At 50.0% G+C, this 17,516-nt stretch overlaps 1 protein-coding gene across 6 annotated transcripts in view, besides 2 other annotated features; it reads left to right on the plus strand.

Annotated features, from left to right (window-relative positions):
* ABHD6 (abhydrolase domain containing 6, acylglycerol lipase) overlaps positions 1–6,139 on the plus strand; it is a 56,943-nt gene extending 50,804 nt beyond the window's left edge. For 3 of the 6 annotated variants that reach the window (XM_005265334.5, XM_005265335.4, XM_047448629.1), the window contains one exon: positions 4,991–6,139. In XM_005265334.5, the coding sequence (XP_005265391.1) occupies positions 4,991–5,170 (180 nt within the window). In that variant the 3' untranslated portion in view covers positions 5,171–6,139. The remainder of the gene's footprint in view (positions 1–4,990) is intronic. The other 3 variants (NM_001320126.2, NM_020676.7, XM_047448630.1) reach the window with 1 other exon arrangement.
* Positions 2,142–2,825: an enhancer, noted in NCBI's record as "H3K27ac hESC enhancer chr3:58276464-58277147 (GRCh37/hg19 assembly coordinates)". NCBI's record gives its function as "activates a minimal SCP1, AML or CMV promoter by ChIP-STARR-seq in naive H9 embryonic stem cells {active_cell/tissue: H9 hESC(naive)}" and the evidence as "EXISTENCE:reporter gene assay evidence [ECO:0000049][PMID:30033119]".
* Positions 17,436–17,515: an enhancer, noted in NCBI's record as "active region_20007". NCBI's record gives its function as "activates an Ori minimal core promoter by ATAC-STARR-seq in GM12878 lymphoblastoid cells {active_cell/tissue: GM12878}" and the evidence as "EXISTENCE:reporter gene assay evidence [ECO:0000049][PMID:35858748]".

The following is a 17,516-nucleotide window of genomic DNA, read 5'->3' on the forward strand; positions in this document are numbered from 1 at the left end:
TAGTGAAGGGATAAACCCACTGACTGACTACACATTTAAGCCAGTTAACAGGCATTTATTGAGCACCTAGTATGTGCCTAACACTGTATTAGGCCCTGAGGATACAGTAGGGACCAAGACAGCCAGGATCCCTGCCCTCCAGCAATTTATCGTCTACCTACCCTTATAGTGCATAACAGGCCCGAGACAAGGGTGAGATGAGAGAGATGTGTCATGCAGGTGCAGGGTCAGATCCTGTCTGTATTTATGATTTTGATATTTTGTTCATCATGTGCCTTTTTCCATTAATGTTTTTTTTAACATACTGCACTAAAATATTTTCTCTTAATTTATGAGTTTTTTGGCACTTAAATTTTGTGCCTTAGGCAAATGCCTCATTTGCCTCACCATAGTTTTAGCCCTGGTGTGAAGCAATGCAGGAAAAGGTTTTGATTTTTGTTTTTTGTTGGGCAGGGGGGTTGTTTGTTTGTTTGTTCTGAGACTGGTTCTTGCTCTGTCACCCAGGCTAGAATGCAGTGGCTCAATCATAGCTCACTGCAGCCTCAACCTCCTGAGCTCAAGCAATGCTCCCACCTCAGCCTCCCAGGCAGCTGGGACTACAGGCATGTGCCACCACACCCGGGTAATTTTTTATTTTTTTTATTTTTTTATTTTTTTTATTGATCATTCTTGGGTGTTTCTCACAGAGGGGGATTTGGCAGGGTCATAGGACAATAGTGGAGGGAAGGTCACCAGATAAACAAGTGAACAAAGGTCTCTGGTTTTCCTAGGCAGAGGACCCTGAGGCCTTCCGCAGTGTTTGTGTCCCTGGGTACTTGAGATTAGGGAGTGGTGATGACTCTTAACGAGCATGCTGCCTTCAGGCATCTGTTTAACAAAGCACATCTTGCACTGCCCTTAATCCATTTAACCCTGAGTGGACACAGCACATGTTTCAGAGAGCACAGGGTTGCGGGGTAAGGTCACAGATCAACAGGATCCCAAGGCAGAAGAATCTTTCTTAGTACAGAACAAAATGAAAAGTCTCCCATGTCTACCTCTTTCTACACAGACACGGCAACCATCCGATTTCTCAATCTTTTCCCCACCTTTCCCCCCTTTCTATTCCACAAAACCACCATTGTCATCATGGCCTATTCTCAATGAGCTGTTGGGCACACCTCCCAGACGGGGTGGTGGCTGGGCAGAGGGGCTCCTCACTTCCCAGTAGGGGCGGCCAGGCAGAGGCGCCCCTCACCACCCGGACAGGGCGGCTGGCCGGGTAGGGGGCTGACCCCCCCACCTCCCTCCCGGACGGGGTGGCTGGCCGGGCAGAGGGGCTCCTCACTTCCCAGTAGGGGCGGCCGGGCAGAGGCGCCCCTCACCTCCCGGACGAGGCGGCTGGCCGGGCGGGGGGCTGACCCCCCCACCTCCCTCCCGGACGGGGCGGCTGGCCGGGCGGGGGGCTGACATCCCCACCTCCCTCCCGGACGGGGCGGCTGGCCGGGCAGAGAGGCTCCTCACTTCCCAGTAGGGGCGGCCGGGCAGAGGCGCCCCTCACCTCCCGGACGGGGCGGCTGGCCGGGCGGGGGGCTGACCCCCCCACCTCCCTCCCGGACGGGGCGGCTGGCTGGGCAGAGGGGCTCCTCACTTCCCAGTAGGGGCGGCTGGGCAGAGGCGCCCCTCACCTCCCAGACGGGGCGGCTGGCCGGGCGGGGGGCTGACCCCCCCCACCTCCCTCCCGGACGGGGCGGCTGGCCTGGCGGGGGCTGACCCCCCACCTTCCTCCCGGATGGAGCGGCTGGCCGGGCAGAGGGGCTCCTCACTTCCCAGTAGGGGCGGCTGGGCAGAGGCGCCCCTCACCTACCGGATGGGGCGGCTGGCCGGGCGGGGGGCTGACCCCCCCACCTCCCTCCCGGACGGGGCGGCTGGCCTGGCAGGGGCTGACCCCCCACCTCCCTCCCGGACGGGTCGGCTGCCAGGCGGAGAGGCTCCTCACTTCCCAGACGGGGTGGCTGCCGGGCGGAGGGGCTCCTCACTTCTCAGACAGGGCGGTTGCCGGGCGGAGGGTCTCCTCCCTTCTCAGATGGGGCGGCTGGGCAGAGACGCTTCTCACCTCCCAGACGGGGTCGCGGCCGGGCAGAGGCGCTCCTCACATCCCAGACGGGCCGGCGGGGCAAAGGCGCTCTCCACATCTCAGACAATGGGCGGCCGGGCAGAGACGCTCCTCACTTCCTAGATGGGATGGCGGCCGGGAAGAGGCGCTCCTCACTTCCTAGATGGGATGGCGGCCGGGCAGAGACGCTCCTCACTTTCCAGACTGGGCAGCCAGGCAGAGGGGCTCCTCACATCCCAGACGATGGGCGGCCAGGCAGAGACGCTCCTCGCTTCCTAGATGGGGTGGCGGCCGGGCAGAGGCTGCACTCTGGGCACTTTGGGAGGCCAAGGCAGGCGGCTGGGAGGTGGAGGTTGTAGCGAGCCGAGATCACACCACTGCACTCCAGCCTGGGCACCATTGAGCACTGAGTGAACCAGACACCGTCTGCAATCCCGGCACCTCCGGAGGCCGAGGCTGGCGGATCACTCGCGGTTAGGAGCTGGAGACCAGCCTGGCCAACACAGTGAAACCCGTCTCCACCAAAAAAATACGAAAACCAGTCAGGCGTGGCAGTGTGCACCTGCAATCGCAGGCACTCGGCAGGCTGAGGCAGGAGAATCAGGCAGGGAGGTTGCAGTGAGCCGAGATGGCAGCAGTACAGTCCAGCTTCGGCTCGGCATCAGAGGGAGACCCTGGAAAGAGAGGGAGAGGGAGACCGTGGGGAGAGGGAGAGGGAGAGGGAGAGGGAGAGCAATTTTTTATTTTTTGTAGAGATGAGGTCTTACTATGTTGGCCAGGCTGGTCTCGAACTCCTGGGTTCAAGAGATCTTCCCACCTCGGCCTCCCAGAGTGCTGATATTATAGGTGTGAGCCACCACACCCAGCCCAGGAAAAGTTTTTGACCATTTATATGAATATTCTATCTAGGAAATCGCTGAAATGGTTCCCACAGATGTGCATATCTCATCAGGGGGTCGTTCAGTAGTTGCACATACCTCTGGGTGGCCATGGAGAATGATGGATTTGTAACGCTAACCAGCAAACAGTGCCAAAGCCAGCAGCTCATATGGGTATTTTTGCCTGTGAGTTGTGGTTTCTGATATCTCTCCAGGATAGACACTCAGTTTTGCCTGGGCATGATGGTGCGTACCTGTCATCCCAGCTACCTGGGGGGCACTGAGGTGGGAGGATCACTTGAGCCCGGGAGGTCAAGGCTGCAGTGAGCCATGATCGTGCCACTGCACTCCAGCCTGTGCAACAGAGCGAGACCCTGTCTCAAAAAAACAAAAAAAGACACTCAGTTGGGAGTTTCCACTTTTTCATGCTGTTTTCACCTATTGACTGCATCTGCGTTTCTTCTGAGTGTTTCCACAGTAGCTGGGTGTTATTCCTGCTCAGTGGGTTGCCGTGGCAGCCTTAGCTGTGAGTGAGTGACAAGGCAGAGGTTTCCATTTCCTTGGCTGGAATTAGCTGTTAAGCTCCCCATTAGCTGTTCCTTTTCCTGGTCCAGGGATGCCCTGCAGGACTCTTTTCCTTGACTGAGGCATCGTCTTACCTTAACTCCCCAGTGGGCAGAAAATCTTGGTTTTAATAATTTGAGTTGGTGAGAATAGAGCAAAGACACAGAAGGTGCTTGAGTTTGTTGGGGCTTTTGCTTTTGCCGTTAAGGATGGGGAGGAGGGGCCCTCTTGTCTAGGATGAATTGAAGGTAAAGGCAGCTAAGAGAAGGGGAGTGAATGCGGATCCACTTCTGAGGGAGGATGTTGGGGAAAAAGATGGAGGTGGATTGGCATAGTAGCTGGGAACCCAGAGGAAAAGGAGAGGAAATGAGTTGTTTGAAAAGGATCAGCCCTGGAAAAGTTCTGGCTTTCATGTTGGAAAAGCATTCCCCATATCTGCAGAGGTTAGAGCCAAGAAACACACAGCTCTGGGGATCCCCAGAGGACCTTCAAAGAGACCTCCAGCTGGGTGCGGTGGCTCAGGCCTGTAATCCTAGCACTTTGGGAGGCTGAGGCAGGTGGATCACCTGAGGTCAGGAGTTCGAGACCAGCCTGGCCAACGTGGTGAAACCCCATCTCTACTAGAAATACAAAAATTAGCTGGGCATGGTGGCGGGCACCTATAATCCCAGCTACTGGGGAGGCTGAGGCAGAAGATCACTTGAACCTGGGAGGCGGAGGTTGCAGTGAGTTGAGATCACGCCACTTCATTCCAGCCTGGGCGAAAGAGTGAAACTCCTTTTCAACAAATAAAGAGATACCCCCAGCTTGTGATAATTAGCCTTCCCCTCTTGCATCCTTCCTACAGCTTGGGCTGCCCTAACCAGCCACAGGGCCAGCCTGATCAAGTCACTCACCTTAACACAGCCTGTGGTTCCCCATGGTCCGTGTGGCTGTAGGAGCAGCGCCCTCCTCTCTGCCCCTTCTCCCCACCATGCCACCCCCACTGCCCATGTGCTTGGTGTCTCAGCCGCCGTGCTCCTTGGTGGCCCCTGCACTCGCCATGATCTCCCACCCTGTGCCATTCCCACATCCGTGAATGCTCCTCCCCTGTCCCCTTTCTGCTCTCCCGGGACTCAGGAACGAGGTCTTCCCTCGACCCTGCTCATCCCCTGTGCTCTCTGACTTCCCCACCATACCATAACCTCCTCAAGGGCAAGGAACGTTTGTTTTCTACCTCAGTATTGCTGACATCAGCCCAACTCCTGGCACAGAGTTGCAGAATAAAACAGGAGGCATCATGGTTACTTCCATTCAGACAGCCACAAGCCCCAACACCAAAGGGACTTGGTCCTAAAATTCACATCCTCCTGCCCCACTGACCCCTGCCAGGCCTTGGTGGAAGTTCTGTCCACAGAGTGCACACGTGGGTGTCTGAATCTTTGTGTATCATCCAGCTCCCTTTCTTGCCCAGCAGGTGCTGGATGTGTCTGGGGCAGACATGTTGGCCAAGTCAATTGCCAACTGCCAGGTGGAGCTTCTGGAAAACTGTGGGCACTCAGTAGTGATGGAAAGACCCAGGAAGACAGCCAAGCTCATAATCGACTTTTTAGCTTCTGTGCACAACACAGACAACAACAAGAAGCTGGACTGAGGCCCCGACTGCAGCCTGCATTCTGCACACAGCATCTGCTCCCATCCCCCAAGTCTGACGCAGCCACCACTCTCAGGGATCCTGCCCCAAATGCGGTCGGAGCGCCAGTGACCCTGAGGAAGCCCGTCCCTTATCCCTGGTATCCACGGTTCCCCAGAGCTTTGGGGACCACGCGAAAACCTCCAAGATATTTTTCACAAAATAGAAACTCATATGGAACAAAATAAGAAACCCCAGCCATGAAATCTACCATGAAGTCTTCAAGTTCATGTCACTGAGAAGCTTGTGCAAAGCAGCCACCTTGGACCATAATTAAATCAAGGACATTTTCTTTGAGACATTCCTTATAGTTGGAGACTCAAGATATTTTTGTTGCATCAGGTGTATTCCCTTGCATGGGCAGTGGCTTTTATAGGAGCATTAGTCCTCATTCGCTGAACCCTGTTGTTTAGGTCTAATTTAAGTTTTACATAGAGACCCATGTATGACTGCAGCCCATTGGCTGCAAGACCAGGGAGGAAAGTGGCAAGCTGTAGAAAATGTTTACACGCATGGAGGGGCATTGCTCTAGCCCTCAGAGCGTCCGGAGCAGCAGGGTACATGGGTGGGAGGTTCATTCAGCACCCACCAGTCAGGTATGTTCTGAGTGAACCCACAGCAGTCGCAGAATGAGCACCTGGCAGGGTGGGTTTCCTAGGAATAATTTATTATTTTTAAAAATAGGCCTAATAAAGCAATAATGTTCTAGACATCTGTCTAAGTAATCAGACTCAGGTTCCACACACAAGCAACAACTCGTGGGCCTCTTTTCTATTTCAATGTGCTACTAAGAACCCTTGGATGTAACATACTAGTTAGTTAATGAATTCTGTGAATTCTGTGAAGAGTAATGTGATTGAAAATAAGTCTAAACAGCTGTAAAAGTGACCACAATGACATGAAATAAATTTAATAAGTCTAGATCAGCAACATGCAGGTGGTTTCTATTTCTGAACTCCTAATTAGGTGCAATGTTGGCAGATTTTCTGTTAACTTTAAAATGTGTTTTTTAAAATAAGGCTTGTTTAACAGGCTTTGGAAGTCTTTGCATGGATGATTTATTAGGTTTAAGGAATCATGTTTGCAATTTTTATCCAGTTGAAATTGTATATCAAAGGCCAGGTGCAGTGGCTCATGCCTGTAATCCCAGCACTTGAGAAGGCCGAGGTGGGTCGATTGCTTGAGGCCAGGAGTTCAAGACCAACCTGGCCAACATGGCAAAATCTTATCTCTACTAAAAATGCAAAAATTATCTGGGCGTGGTGGGACACACCTGTAATCCCAGCTACCTGGGAGCCTGAGGCATGAGAATCGCTTGAACCCGGGAGGCGGAGGTTACAGTGAGCCGAGATTGTGCCATTGCACTCCAGCCTGGGCAATAAGCGCAAAAATCCATCTCAAAATAATATAATAATAATTCACTGGAAATTGTATATCAAAAAAGGCAAGAGTCATCAAAATATTCTTTTTGACTCTTTCTGTAGGATTTAGGAGCCCTAAACTCCCCAGGAGCTTCACTCTTTCCAATTTTTTTTTTACAGAAAATCTACAGCCAAGTCATTCTGGGAATAAAGTGAGATAAACTTTACAGTTTAAATCTGAATTCAGGACTGTGTTTGAATATTTCAGTTTACCAGAGAAGAATGGAACTTAGAGCTTAAAAACAAGAAGAAGATATGAAAATATGACATCAAGCTGGGCTGCAGCTAAAGCAGTGCCTCAGAGGGAAATTCATAGGCTTCAATACGTATATTAGAAGGGAAGAGGCTAGGTGGAGTAGCTCACACCTGTAGTTTCAACACCTTGGGAGGCCAAGGCGGGAGGACTGCTTGAGCCCAGGAGTTTGAGACCAGCCTGGGCAACATGGCAAGACCCCATCTCTTATATAAAAAGAAAAAAGGAAAGAAAAATCAATAAATTAAGCTTCTAGCTCAAGAAATGAGAAAATAAATAGTATCAAAGCCAGAGCAAATTAGAGGGAAGAAACACAGACAAAAACAAAAATCAATGAAGTAGAAAAGAAAGTAGATATTAGACATTTTATTTGTTCCAATTTCCTATATTCACCAAGAATTCTGAGCATAGTGGGAGAGGGGTTCAGTGTTGGTGGGCCTAGGTGATGAGAGATGGTTTCCTCAGGATCAATGAGGAAGCCCCAGACCTGGGATAAGTACCTCAGATCAGAAACCGTACAGGATACAGGAACTCTTATGCTCTGGGTTGAATACCAGCTAAAGATGACATCAAAAGCAGTCCCTGAACTGTGCCCACCATGGGGTCATTCAGGCGGGGTGTGTGCCATCCATCCGAACCCAGGACAGTAGGCAGGTTCTGCATCTGGACACAGCTTCCATCTCCTCTGCTGTCACCAGAAAGCACTGACTACAAGTTGTGAGCAGAGAGTATGAAAGAGTCATTTTGAACTATAAGGTGGGTTTTCAGGTTCTCGCTTGGTGCTGCAATTCTGGGTGCACTCGGAAGACCCTTGTGCCTCACTTCCTGCCTCTGTGACTATAGCGAGCCTGCTGGTTACTGCCAGCTCTGAGTCCCCCTTGCCACACACCCCCTGGGCTCTATGGTGTGTGCCTTTGATGACAGTCGGGAAGAAGAAAGTACTCATTCATCACAGCACCCCCTGAAAGACTGCCAGGAACTTCTGAAATAACAATGGATAGCCCCAGGAATCACAGCTGCAGCTGGTCTCTCGATCTCACTGCCTGGAGTTGGGGCCTTCAGGGCCGCTGTGGGCAGACCCTCCTGGTCAGGTGTTGAAGAAGGACAAGCAGTGGTGAGAACTCAGTTTGCAGTCAGTCTGGGCTCCTTGTCCTGGACAGAGGTAACACTAGGAGTGAGTGATGTAACAAATGCATCAAACTGATGAGACTGCCTGTGTAAGCCTGTATCTTCCATTTGAGCCCCAGTGAGTATTCTTGTTGCTTTGCCCAGAGGAAATTCTCAGAACGTATGTTAGGCCAGGCTGGAGGACTAAACTATGTGCCAGGGGCTATTCTAAGTGTTTTCACGCAGCCCTGTACATATGACACTGTGCCAGTTTTTCAGCAGAGGTACCGAGGCATGGAGTGGTATTTTGTCCAAGGTCACACAGCTTATGAGGAGAGGGAAGCCTCTCGGTATATAACTAAAGGTAATGGTAACACGTGAAAACAATGCTTTTACCTGTTCAGGCAGGAGCTGTCCCACATACCTTACCAATCCACCTGGGGCTCCATTGGCTCACCCAGACCAGGCCAGTGTGTGGCAGCTTCAGCCGTAGATTGCTGGGGCCACCCTTCCTGGCTTGAGCCCCCATTGAAGAAGGTCACCCGGTTGTTCATTCATCATAGTTAAGGACTTCCAACTGCCCAGCCTCCTGCTGGACAGGAAACAGAACCCACCTGAATTCCGACATCATTCTGCTAAGGACATATCCAGGGACAGCTTGCCCTCTCCACTCCAGCCTCTTTAACAACCAGGACTGGTGTGTCATCTACTTTGGAAGGGCTCGTTCACCTTGCTGATATCCTCTCCCTGCCCCCATACTCTGGATATGAGTGTTGTTTGTTCCCAACAATATTCTCCTTTGGGAGAAGTCTCGGCTCAGTCTCATTGCCTCTCTGGGGTCTGGCATGGAAAGCAGTCAAGAGATGTGGCCTGGCCAGGTGCAGTGGCTCACGCCTGTAATCCCAGAATTTTGGGAGGCTGAGGCGGCTGGATCACCTGCAGTCAGGAGTTTAAGACCAGTCTGGCCAACATGGCAAAACCCCTTCTTTACTAAAAATACAAAAAGTTTGCCAGGCATGTTGGTGCACACCTGTAGTCCCAACTACTCAGGAGGCTGAGGCACAAGAATTGCTTGAACCCGGGAGGTGGAGGTTGCAGTGAGCCAAGATTGCGCCACTGCACTCCAGCCTGGGCAGCACAGCAAGACTCTGTCTCAAAAAAAAAAAAAAAAAAAAAAGAAAAACAAATGTGACTGCTCCTAGCTGCTGCTTCAGAAGCCAGCCCTGAAGCTCTGCTGGGGTCTGCCCAGGCATCTTTTAAAGGGATTGCTTACTGGCCAGGGGCTATACCTGCCTTCAAACACATTTTGGGTCTAATATTTATAATAAATGCTGAATGTAGGCCCCCTTATTTACTTTCCAAGCCCTGGATATTGTTCTTAGGACCATGGGTTGCTTAGGTAACTACCACCGTTCTAAAATGGTGGCTGCAGATTTTAACACGTGCAGGCCCCAGCCTTCTGCTTTGGAGGAGCCATCACCTTTCAGCTCTTCCAGCATCACCCTTCAACCACAGACTGGACCTTCTCATCAGCCTTTTCTCCCTCCCCAACCCCAAACTGGGTGCTGTTCTTGCAATTTCTCCATTTCCTGAAAGGAGACAAAAAAGTAGAGGGTTTTTTTTAGAGGGACGGGGCTGGTCACAGATAGGGCAGTGGAGATATCCTCAAATTACCTGCCAGGTGACAGTCCTGGGGCTGGCTCTTCTGGTGTCCCCAGCTGCCGCAGGGCTCTGGGGCCCAGTATTTGCTCCCTGGGGCTGGTACCAACCAGGGTGTGGACTTGGGGTTGCCTGTGCTGGCAGTGGGAGGAGAGTCTTGTGACCATCATCAGCCTAGTCTGGCAGAGGGACAGAGGGAGAGGACAGGTGACTGCTCGGGTCTCCTTTCAGCAACAGGACAGTCCCTCTCTCTTGGCTCCTGGAGGAACCTTCCCTTCATTGGTTTCTGGATCTTAGGGTCTTTAAATCCTCAAGGCAATGAACAGGCATCTGAGGCCATACCAGGAGCTGCAGCAGGGGGTGGAAGAAGGAAGAGTTCGTAGGGGCAGTAAGGGGGTAACAATTCCAATGACCAAAGGCCAAAGCTGGCTGGGTCGGGGGCAGGTGACTTCCTGAAGGACAACTGGAAAGGTGGCTGCCAAGACAACCCCTCCCCAAAGCTCTCAGGCCAGACGTGATTTGAATTCAGAAGCGTTTCGACCTGGAAAGGTATCACAGTGTGTATACCATGTATCATGTGATGCCCTCTGCAGGGTCTGGGGCCACCACACATGGTCAAATAAATGCATTTGTATTTCTGCCATGCAATGTATGTGTAGCCACAGTAAGTGGGACAAAAGCTGTAAGCCTCACCTTAGTTCAGATTAAGCATTGGCGCTGGATGAAGATACTTGGTTTCCAGTTGTTTTTTTTTTTTAGGATTTCAGATAAGGGATGGGAGCCTGCTTTCTAGGTCCGGCTCTCCTGCCTTGGGGGTGGGCTGAGGAGGCATTTTTTTCTTCCAGCATGGAAGGCGCAGCATATAGATAGGTCCATAGATCCCTCTTGTGCCTAACTATGTAAGTAGCAGGTCCTGATTTTTATTTAATAATTATTAGTGTTACCAAAATGATGCTCTGTCACTTTAAAAGAAATCAAACAAAAAGATTGCTTAAAAAAGGAGAGTCTCCTACACCCTCTGCACAGCCCCACCCTTCCCCCATCAGTCAGTCCATTGGGGTTTCTGTGCATTTGCACACATACATACGGGTAAGCAGTGTAAAACTGGTTGGCTTTGTGGATTTTTTTTTTATAACACAATTGGGGCTATGCTAGACATTACTGTTGCCCACTCCTCCTGCTCTTTTCCCTGGAGCTCTTCTAGGTCCAAACCCACAGAGCCCTCAGGTTCCTATAACAGGGATGCAGAGTCCTCCAGAGAAAACGGGGTACAAATCTCTTTGTAAGGACCTCTTTGAACCCCCAGGAGAAGGTCTCTGAATTTGAAGAAAGGATTTAAGGCCCCTCCAGAAACGGGCTGCTTTATTACAGGGTCGTTATCCCCTCCCCAAAATCTCCCTTCCTGGGGCCCTGGAGCCATTTTTTTAGGAGGGAGATTTCTAAGATCACTTCCAAGGAAAGTTTCCTCCGTCATTTAAATACAGTTCAGAAATGCTGGGTGAGACAAAGTTAAACAGCATGGCTCCAGCTATAACCCCCAGACAAGCAGGGGAATGACTGAAGGAGAAAAGATGTCCTCCAGTAGCTGCTGGCAGAGGGGTGGGTGCTGGGGCAGGGGACCAGGCTGTCTTGCTGTTCCCTGGGTGATGGGGGTGGTTTTGATGGTCTAGGAAAGGGCTTTTAGTCTTTTTTACCATTGTCTGGTGCACTGCCCCCAGAGTTCCTGCCCGAAACGGGTGTGCTTATGTCCTTCCCAGGTCCCCTTTACTGACTGCTGCATCCACCCCCCACCTGCTGGGTTGGCTGCCCAGTTGAGCCACCCTCAGATGACTGGAGGTGCCTGCGAAGCTATACCTTTTCTCCTCTTATGTCCAAGTGTTGCCAGATAAAATACAGGATGCCCAGTTAAATGTTAATTTCAGATAAACAACAAATACATTTTTAGTATAAAGATGTCCCACTCATTGTTTATCTGAAACTCAAATTTAACTGGGAATTCTGTATTTTTGCTTGTTTTTGCAGAGAAAAAACAAACAAGATAGGTGTGGTCCACAGCTCCCTCTTGTGCCTAACTACGTAAGTAGCAGGTCCTGATTTTTTATTTAATAATTATTAGTGTTACCAAAATGATGCTGTCACTTTAAAAGAAATCAAACAGCCGGGCACGGTGGCTCACACCTGATCCCAGCACTTTGGGAGGCCGAGGCAGGCAGATCATCTGAGGTCGGGAGTTAAAGACCAGCCTGACCAACATGGAGAAACCCTGTCTCTACTAAAAATGCAAAATTAGGCCAGGCGCAGTGGCTCACTCCTGTAATCCCAGCACTTTGGGAGGCCGAGGCAGGCAGGTCATCTGAGGTTGGGAGTTAAAGACCAGCCTGACCAACATGGAGAAACCCTGTCTCTACTAAAAATGCAAAATTAGCCAGGCGTGGTGGCGCATGCCTGTAATCCCAGCTACTCTGGAGGCTGAGGCAGGAGAATTGCTTGAACCCAGGAGGTGGAGGTGGAGGTGAGCAGAGATCGGGCCATTGCACTCCAGTCTGGGCAACAAGAGCGAAACTCCGACTCAAACAAAACAAAACAAAACGAAAAACAAAAAACAAATTAGCCCCGTGTGATGGTGCATGCCTGTAATCCCAGTTACTTGGGAGGCTGAGGCAGGAGAATAGCTTGAACCTGGGAGACAGAAGTTGCAGTGAGCTGAGATTGTGCCATTGCACTCCAGCCTGGGCAACAAGAACAAAACTCTGTCTCAAAAAAAAAAATCAAACAAAAAGATTGCTGAAAAAATGAAAGTCTCTTACACCCTCTGCACAGCCCCACCCTTCCCCCATCAGTCAGTCCACTGGGATTTCTGTGCATTTGCACACATACATACGGGTAAGAACTCCTGGGTTCAAGCAATCCTCCTGCCTCAGCCTCCAAAAGCACTGTGATTACAGACATGAGCCGCCGTGCCTGGCCTATCCTATATTTTTATTTGCTAAATCTGGCAACCCTATAGGTAGCAGCCAATGACACCTATAGAAGGCTTGGCCCCCTTGCCTCAAAGCCTAGAAGCTTCCTTAGTATCATTTATGCTCCAGGACTCCCCATGGGATCCAGCTGAGGCTAGACTCAGCTGAATCTGTTACTGAAACACCAAGTGTTGCTTCTAGGTCCTGCTGCTCACCAAAGAGAAAGCTAATCACTGAAACAATGAATATTGCCAGGGAAGAAGGCTTTCTTTGAGAGCTGCTGCTGTGGACATGGGAGATCAGTCTCAAATCCATCTCCCTGACTGACTAAAATTAGGAGTTTATACAGCAGAAATATAACAAATGCAGGAAAACAGGAATCAGGGAAGGATAAGGAAGGGGAGTTGGTCAACAGAAAGCAGGTCGTGGGAGACAGGCAGTCATGAAGGGTGAAGGGTCTGGACTGTCATTGTCCAAATGCAGTGATCTGGTGAGTTTCAGCTCCTTGATACTACCTGGGAAGCCTCATGGTTGGTTTACTGAGAAAGGAACTCAGATAAGACAAATGTAACTTCTCAAATTTTAAGATGAGAAGGTCAATCTCTACATATACTCAAAAGAAACCGTAAGCATCAGTTCTGTGGGATGATTGGACCGGTTTCAAATCCACATCTTTGCTTGGCTTCTTCTCCTGCCCTATCTTGCTTCCCTCCTCCCTTACAGATTTCACTTGGGGGCCATCTCCCAGTAAATCACTTCCGTGAGGGTCTCTCTCTCAGGCTTGGCTTCTAGGGATTCTAAAGCACTGCCTGCTTTTCAGAGTTTCTTGTTTGGAGATGACGCTTGAGTTGATGACACTTGAGTTGCCTCAAAGGAGCAGCTCCCAGACTGGTCTTCCACATGGGAGGGATGGAATGCAGCTTTTTAGGCTCTGGAGCCTCTCACCACCTTAGATAAATGACTTAGCTTCATTTTCTTCATCTGTGAAAAGTGGTAATTATAGTGACATTGCATGGTTGATGGAATAATGTGAGCAAGTTAGCTGGTACTTGGCAAATCTCCCTAAACTATGTGATCTTATTCTCGAAACAGAAACAATGGCTACAGTTCCATAGGTTTTAACTTCTGATCATTTTCACTTCCTTTGTCCTATCTCCACAATCTGCTGACATAGGGGGTGTTTTCCATTAAATCAATGGAGAACAGGGGGACTGGAATCTCACTTGGACCCTTCTCTCTTGCCTTTTCTTCCCCAAGTTGAGAAAGCTCCTCAGCTTTAGAAAAATCCATTTGGCACCAATAAGTAAGGCAGGGAGGGGAGCCACACAGCAGAGGGGAAGTGTGGACTTAACTCATTCTTGGCTGCCGTACCTTTCAGGGACATAAAATAGAGACCGACCCCAACAACTTTGCTCTGAAACACAGAGGGTACCTGAAATGGTCCTCTTAAGAACTAACTGGCTCCACCCAATGCAGTACAGGGTAACTTTCATAAAGACTGAGGCAGCTAACCTGGGCAACATAGCAAGATCCCCTCTCTAAAAATAAAAATCAAAAAAATTAGCCAGGTGTGGTGACACATGCCTGTAGTCCCAGCTCCTCTGGAGGCTGAGGCAGGAGGATCACTTGAGCCCAGGAGTTTGAGGCTGCAGTGACCTATGTTTGCACCACTGTACTCCAGCCTGGACCACAGAGTAAGACCCTGTCTCCAAAAAAAAAAAGAAAAAAAGACTGAGGCAGCCTTGTGTGTTTTGATTTGGAGCAATTTTAGATACATCGTCAAGAGGTAAAAGCCCCCATATCATATTTTTCAGGGGACACTTAAGAAACTCATACTAGTTGTTGCTCCTGGAGAGGGGAGAGGCTGACAGGGGAAGAGGTGGAAGGGAGACTCACTTTTTAATATCTATCCCTTTATGTCATTTGAAATGTATGCTGTAAGCCTACAGTACCTATTCAGAAGATAAAATTTAGGCATGGTGCAGTGCCTCACACCTGTAATCCCAGCATTTTGGGAGGCCAACGCAGAAGGATCGCTTGAGCCTAGGAGTTCAAGACCAGCCTGAGCAACATGGTGAGACCCTGTTTCTACAAAAAAATTAAAAATTAGCTGGCCATGGTGGCATGCACCTGTAGTCCCAGCTACTTGGGAGGCTGGGGTGGGAGGATCGGTTGAGCCTGGGAGGTTGAGGCTACAGTGACCCATGATCACATTATTGTACTACAGTCTGGGTGACAGTGAGACACTGTCCAAAAACGATTTTTTAATATAAAATTTAGTTGAAAAACAAAAGTTTTTTTTTGTTTTTTGTTTTGTTTTGTTTGTTGGCAGAGTCTCGCTCTGTCATCTCGGCTAGAGTGCAGTGGCGTGATCTCAGCTTACTGCAACCTCTGCCTCCTGGGTTCAAGCAATTCTCCTGCCTCAGCCTCCCGAGTAGCTGGGATTACAGGTGCGCACCATCACACCCAGCTAATTTTTGTATTTTTAGTAGAGACAGGGTTTCGCCATGTTGGCCAGGCTGGTCTTGAACTCCTGACCTCAGGTGTTCTGCCCACCTCGGCCTCCTAAAGTGCTGGATTACAGGCCTGAGCCACAACACCCAGCCAAAAAACAAGTTTTTTGTCTTTATCATTCAAAGGCATCTCTTTTATCCTCCGCTCTGAATTAATAAGACAGCATGAGAGAATTCAGGCAACTGGGAAGACACTTCATTTTCAGGGTTTGTTGCAGCAGGGTGAAAATTATCTATTGTTCCTTGAAGTTCAAAATACAGGAATTGCTCTGGTTTTCCTGGGCCACCTGGCAGGATACATTTGCCAGGCAGCTGGCTTACAGGAACCCTCTCCCATTACTGAGGGTTTCCTGGGGTGCCAGACACTTTATACCATCAACTCTTTTTCCCTCAACTCTGTGAGGTAGATGCTAATAATCTCTCCATGTGACAGATGAGGGAGGTAGGTAAGTGGCAGAGGATGCATTTGAAGCAAGTTCTGGCAGCTTCTGAAATCAAGCTTTTTTGAGAAAGATAATACTTGGGTCTGTGGGGTCTGTGTTTGCTTTCTCCACCTCTTCCCACATCTGGAACAAGCCCTGTCTCCTCTGAAGGAAGAAGAAAGTAGGAACCACAGAACTGGAGAGCATGGCCAAGGTTGAGGACTGAAGCTTCTGGAAACAACACAGTGGGATTTTGAGAAAATAATTGAGGAAGGAGATCCCCGCTGACTCAACTGTCCTGTGCAAGGCAACCCTTTGCCCCCCAACCCAAGCAAAACCAGCACATCCATTTATGAACAAATGCCTTCAGTAAATAGATGTTGGGTCACCATTGGGTACCAGGAACTGGGATGCAGTGGTGAGAAACACAGACAAGGCCCCATCCTCATGGGGGTTACACTAAAGTTTCCCTTCCCACTGCAGCCCCTCAATTGGTGGTAATACAGTGCAGTATGGAGAGCACTGGCTAGAATCAGACAGCCCATGCCACTGCTTATAACTGTGATCTTGAGCAAATAACTTAGCCTCTCTGTGCCTCAGTTTCTTTTCCTGTTGCCAGGCTAGAGTGCAGTGGTGTGATCTCGGCTTACTGCAACCTCTACCTCCCAGGTTCAAGCAATTCTCCTGCTTCAGCCTCCCGAGTAACTGGGATTACAGGTGTGCACCACCGTGCCCAGCTAATTTTTGTATTTTCAGTAGAGATGGGGGTCTCACCATGCTGGCCAGGCTGGTCTCGAATTCCTGGCCTCAAGTGATCTGCCCGCCTCAGCCTCCCAAAGTGCTGGAATTACAGGCATGAGCCACTGCGCCTGGCCTGTGCCTCAGTTTCTACCTCTAAAATGGTGATGATCATAGTAATAGCCATCTCAGGATTGTGTGAGGGTTCCATGAGATGACATATGTAAAATATTTTGCATAGTGCCTAGCACAAAGTAAGTCTTTACTTTGTGGGTCTTTCCAGGACGGCCTAGATAGAACACCTACTATGTGCTGGGAGTCACAAGGGACACTGAGAGTGGGTCCTATCTTTGGGGAGTGCTTGACATAGGAGATCTTGAGGAGAGGAGATGCTAGATATAATTTTGTAGGCTGGGCGCGGTGGCTCACGTCTGTAATCCCAACACTTTGGGAGGCGAGGTGGGTGGATTGCCTGAAGTCAGGAGTTTGAGACCTGCTTGGCTAACATAGTGAAACCCTGTCTCTACTAAAAATACAAAAATTAGGCCAGGCGCGGTGGCTCACGCCTGTAATCCCAACACTTTGGGAGGCCGAGGTGGACAGATCACGAGGTCAAGAGATTGAGACCATGCTGGCCAACATGGTGAAACCTCGTCTCGACTAAAAATACAAAAATTAGCTGGGCATGGTGGTGCATGCCTGTAGTCCCAGCTACTTGGGAGGCTGAGGCAGAAGAATCACTTGAAGGGAGGCGGAGGGTGCAGTGAGCCAAGATGGCGCCACTGCACTCCAGCCTGGGCGACAGAGCGAGACTCCATCTCAATAAATAAATTATAATATAATGAAAAAAATGTGTAGAATGACTCGGGCGCAGTTGCTCACGTCTGTAATCCCAGCACTTTGGGAGGCCAAGGTGGGCAGATCACTTGAGGCGAGGAGTTCGAGACCAGCCTGGCCAACATGGTGAAACCCCGTCTCTACTAAAAATACAAAAATTAGCCAGGCATGGTGGAGCATACCTGTAGTCCTAGCTACTCAGGAGGCTGAGGTGGGAGAATCGCTTGAGCCCTGGAGGCGGAGGTAGCAGTAAGCCAGATCGCGCCAGTGCACTCCAGCCTGGGCGACAGAGTGAAACTGTCTCAAAAAAACAACGAAAAAATTGTTGAATGAATGAATGAATGCATGAAGAAATGGATAACTATGAAGCACCGTCCAAGGCGGAAAAAACCCGCCC

Source organism: Homo sapiens, chromosome 3, assembly GCF_000001405.40.
Source record: "Homo sapiens chromosome 3, GRCh38.p14 Primary Assembly".
Taxonomy (NCBI): Eukaryota; Metazoa; Chordata; class Mammalia; order Primates; family Hominidae; genus Homo; species Homo sapiens.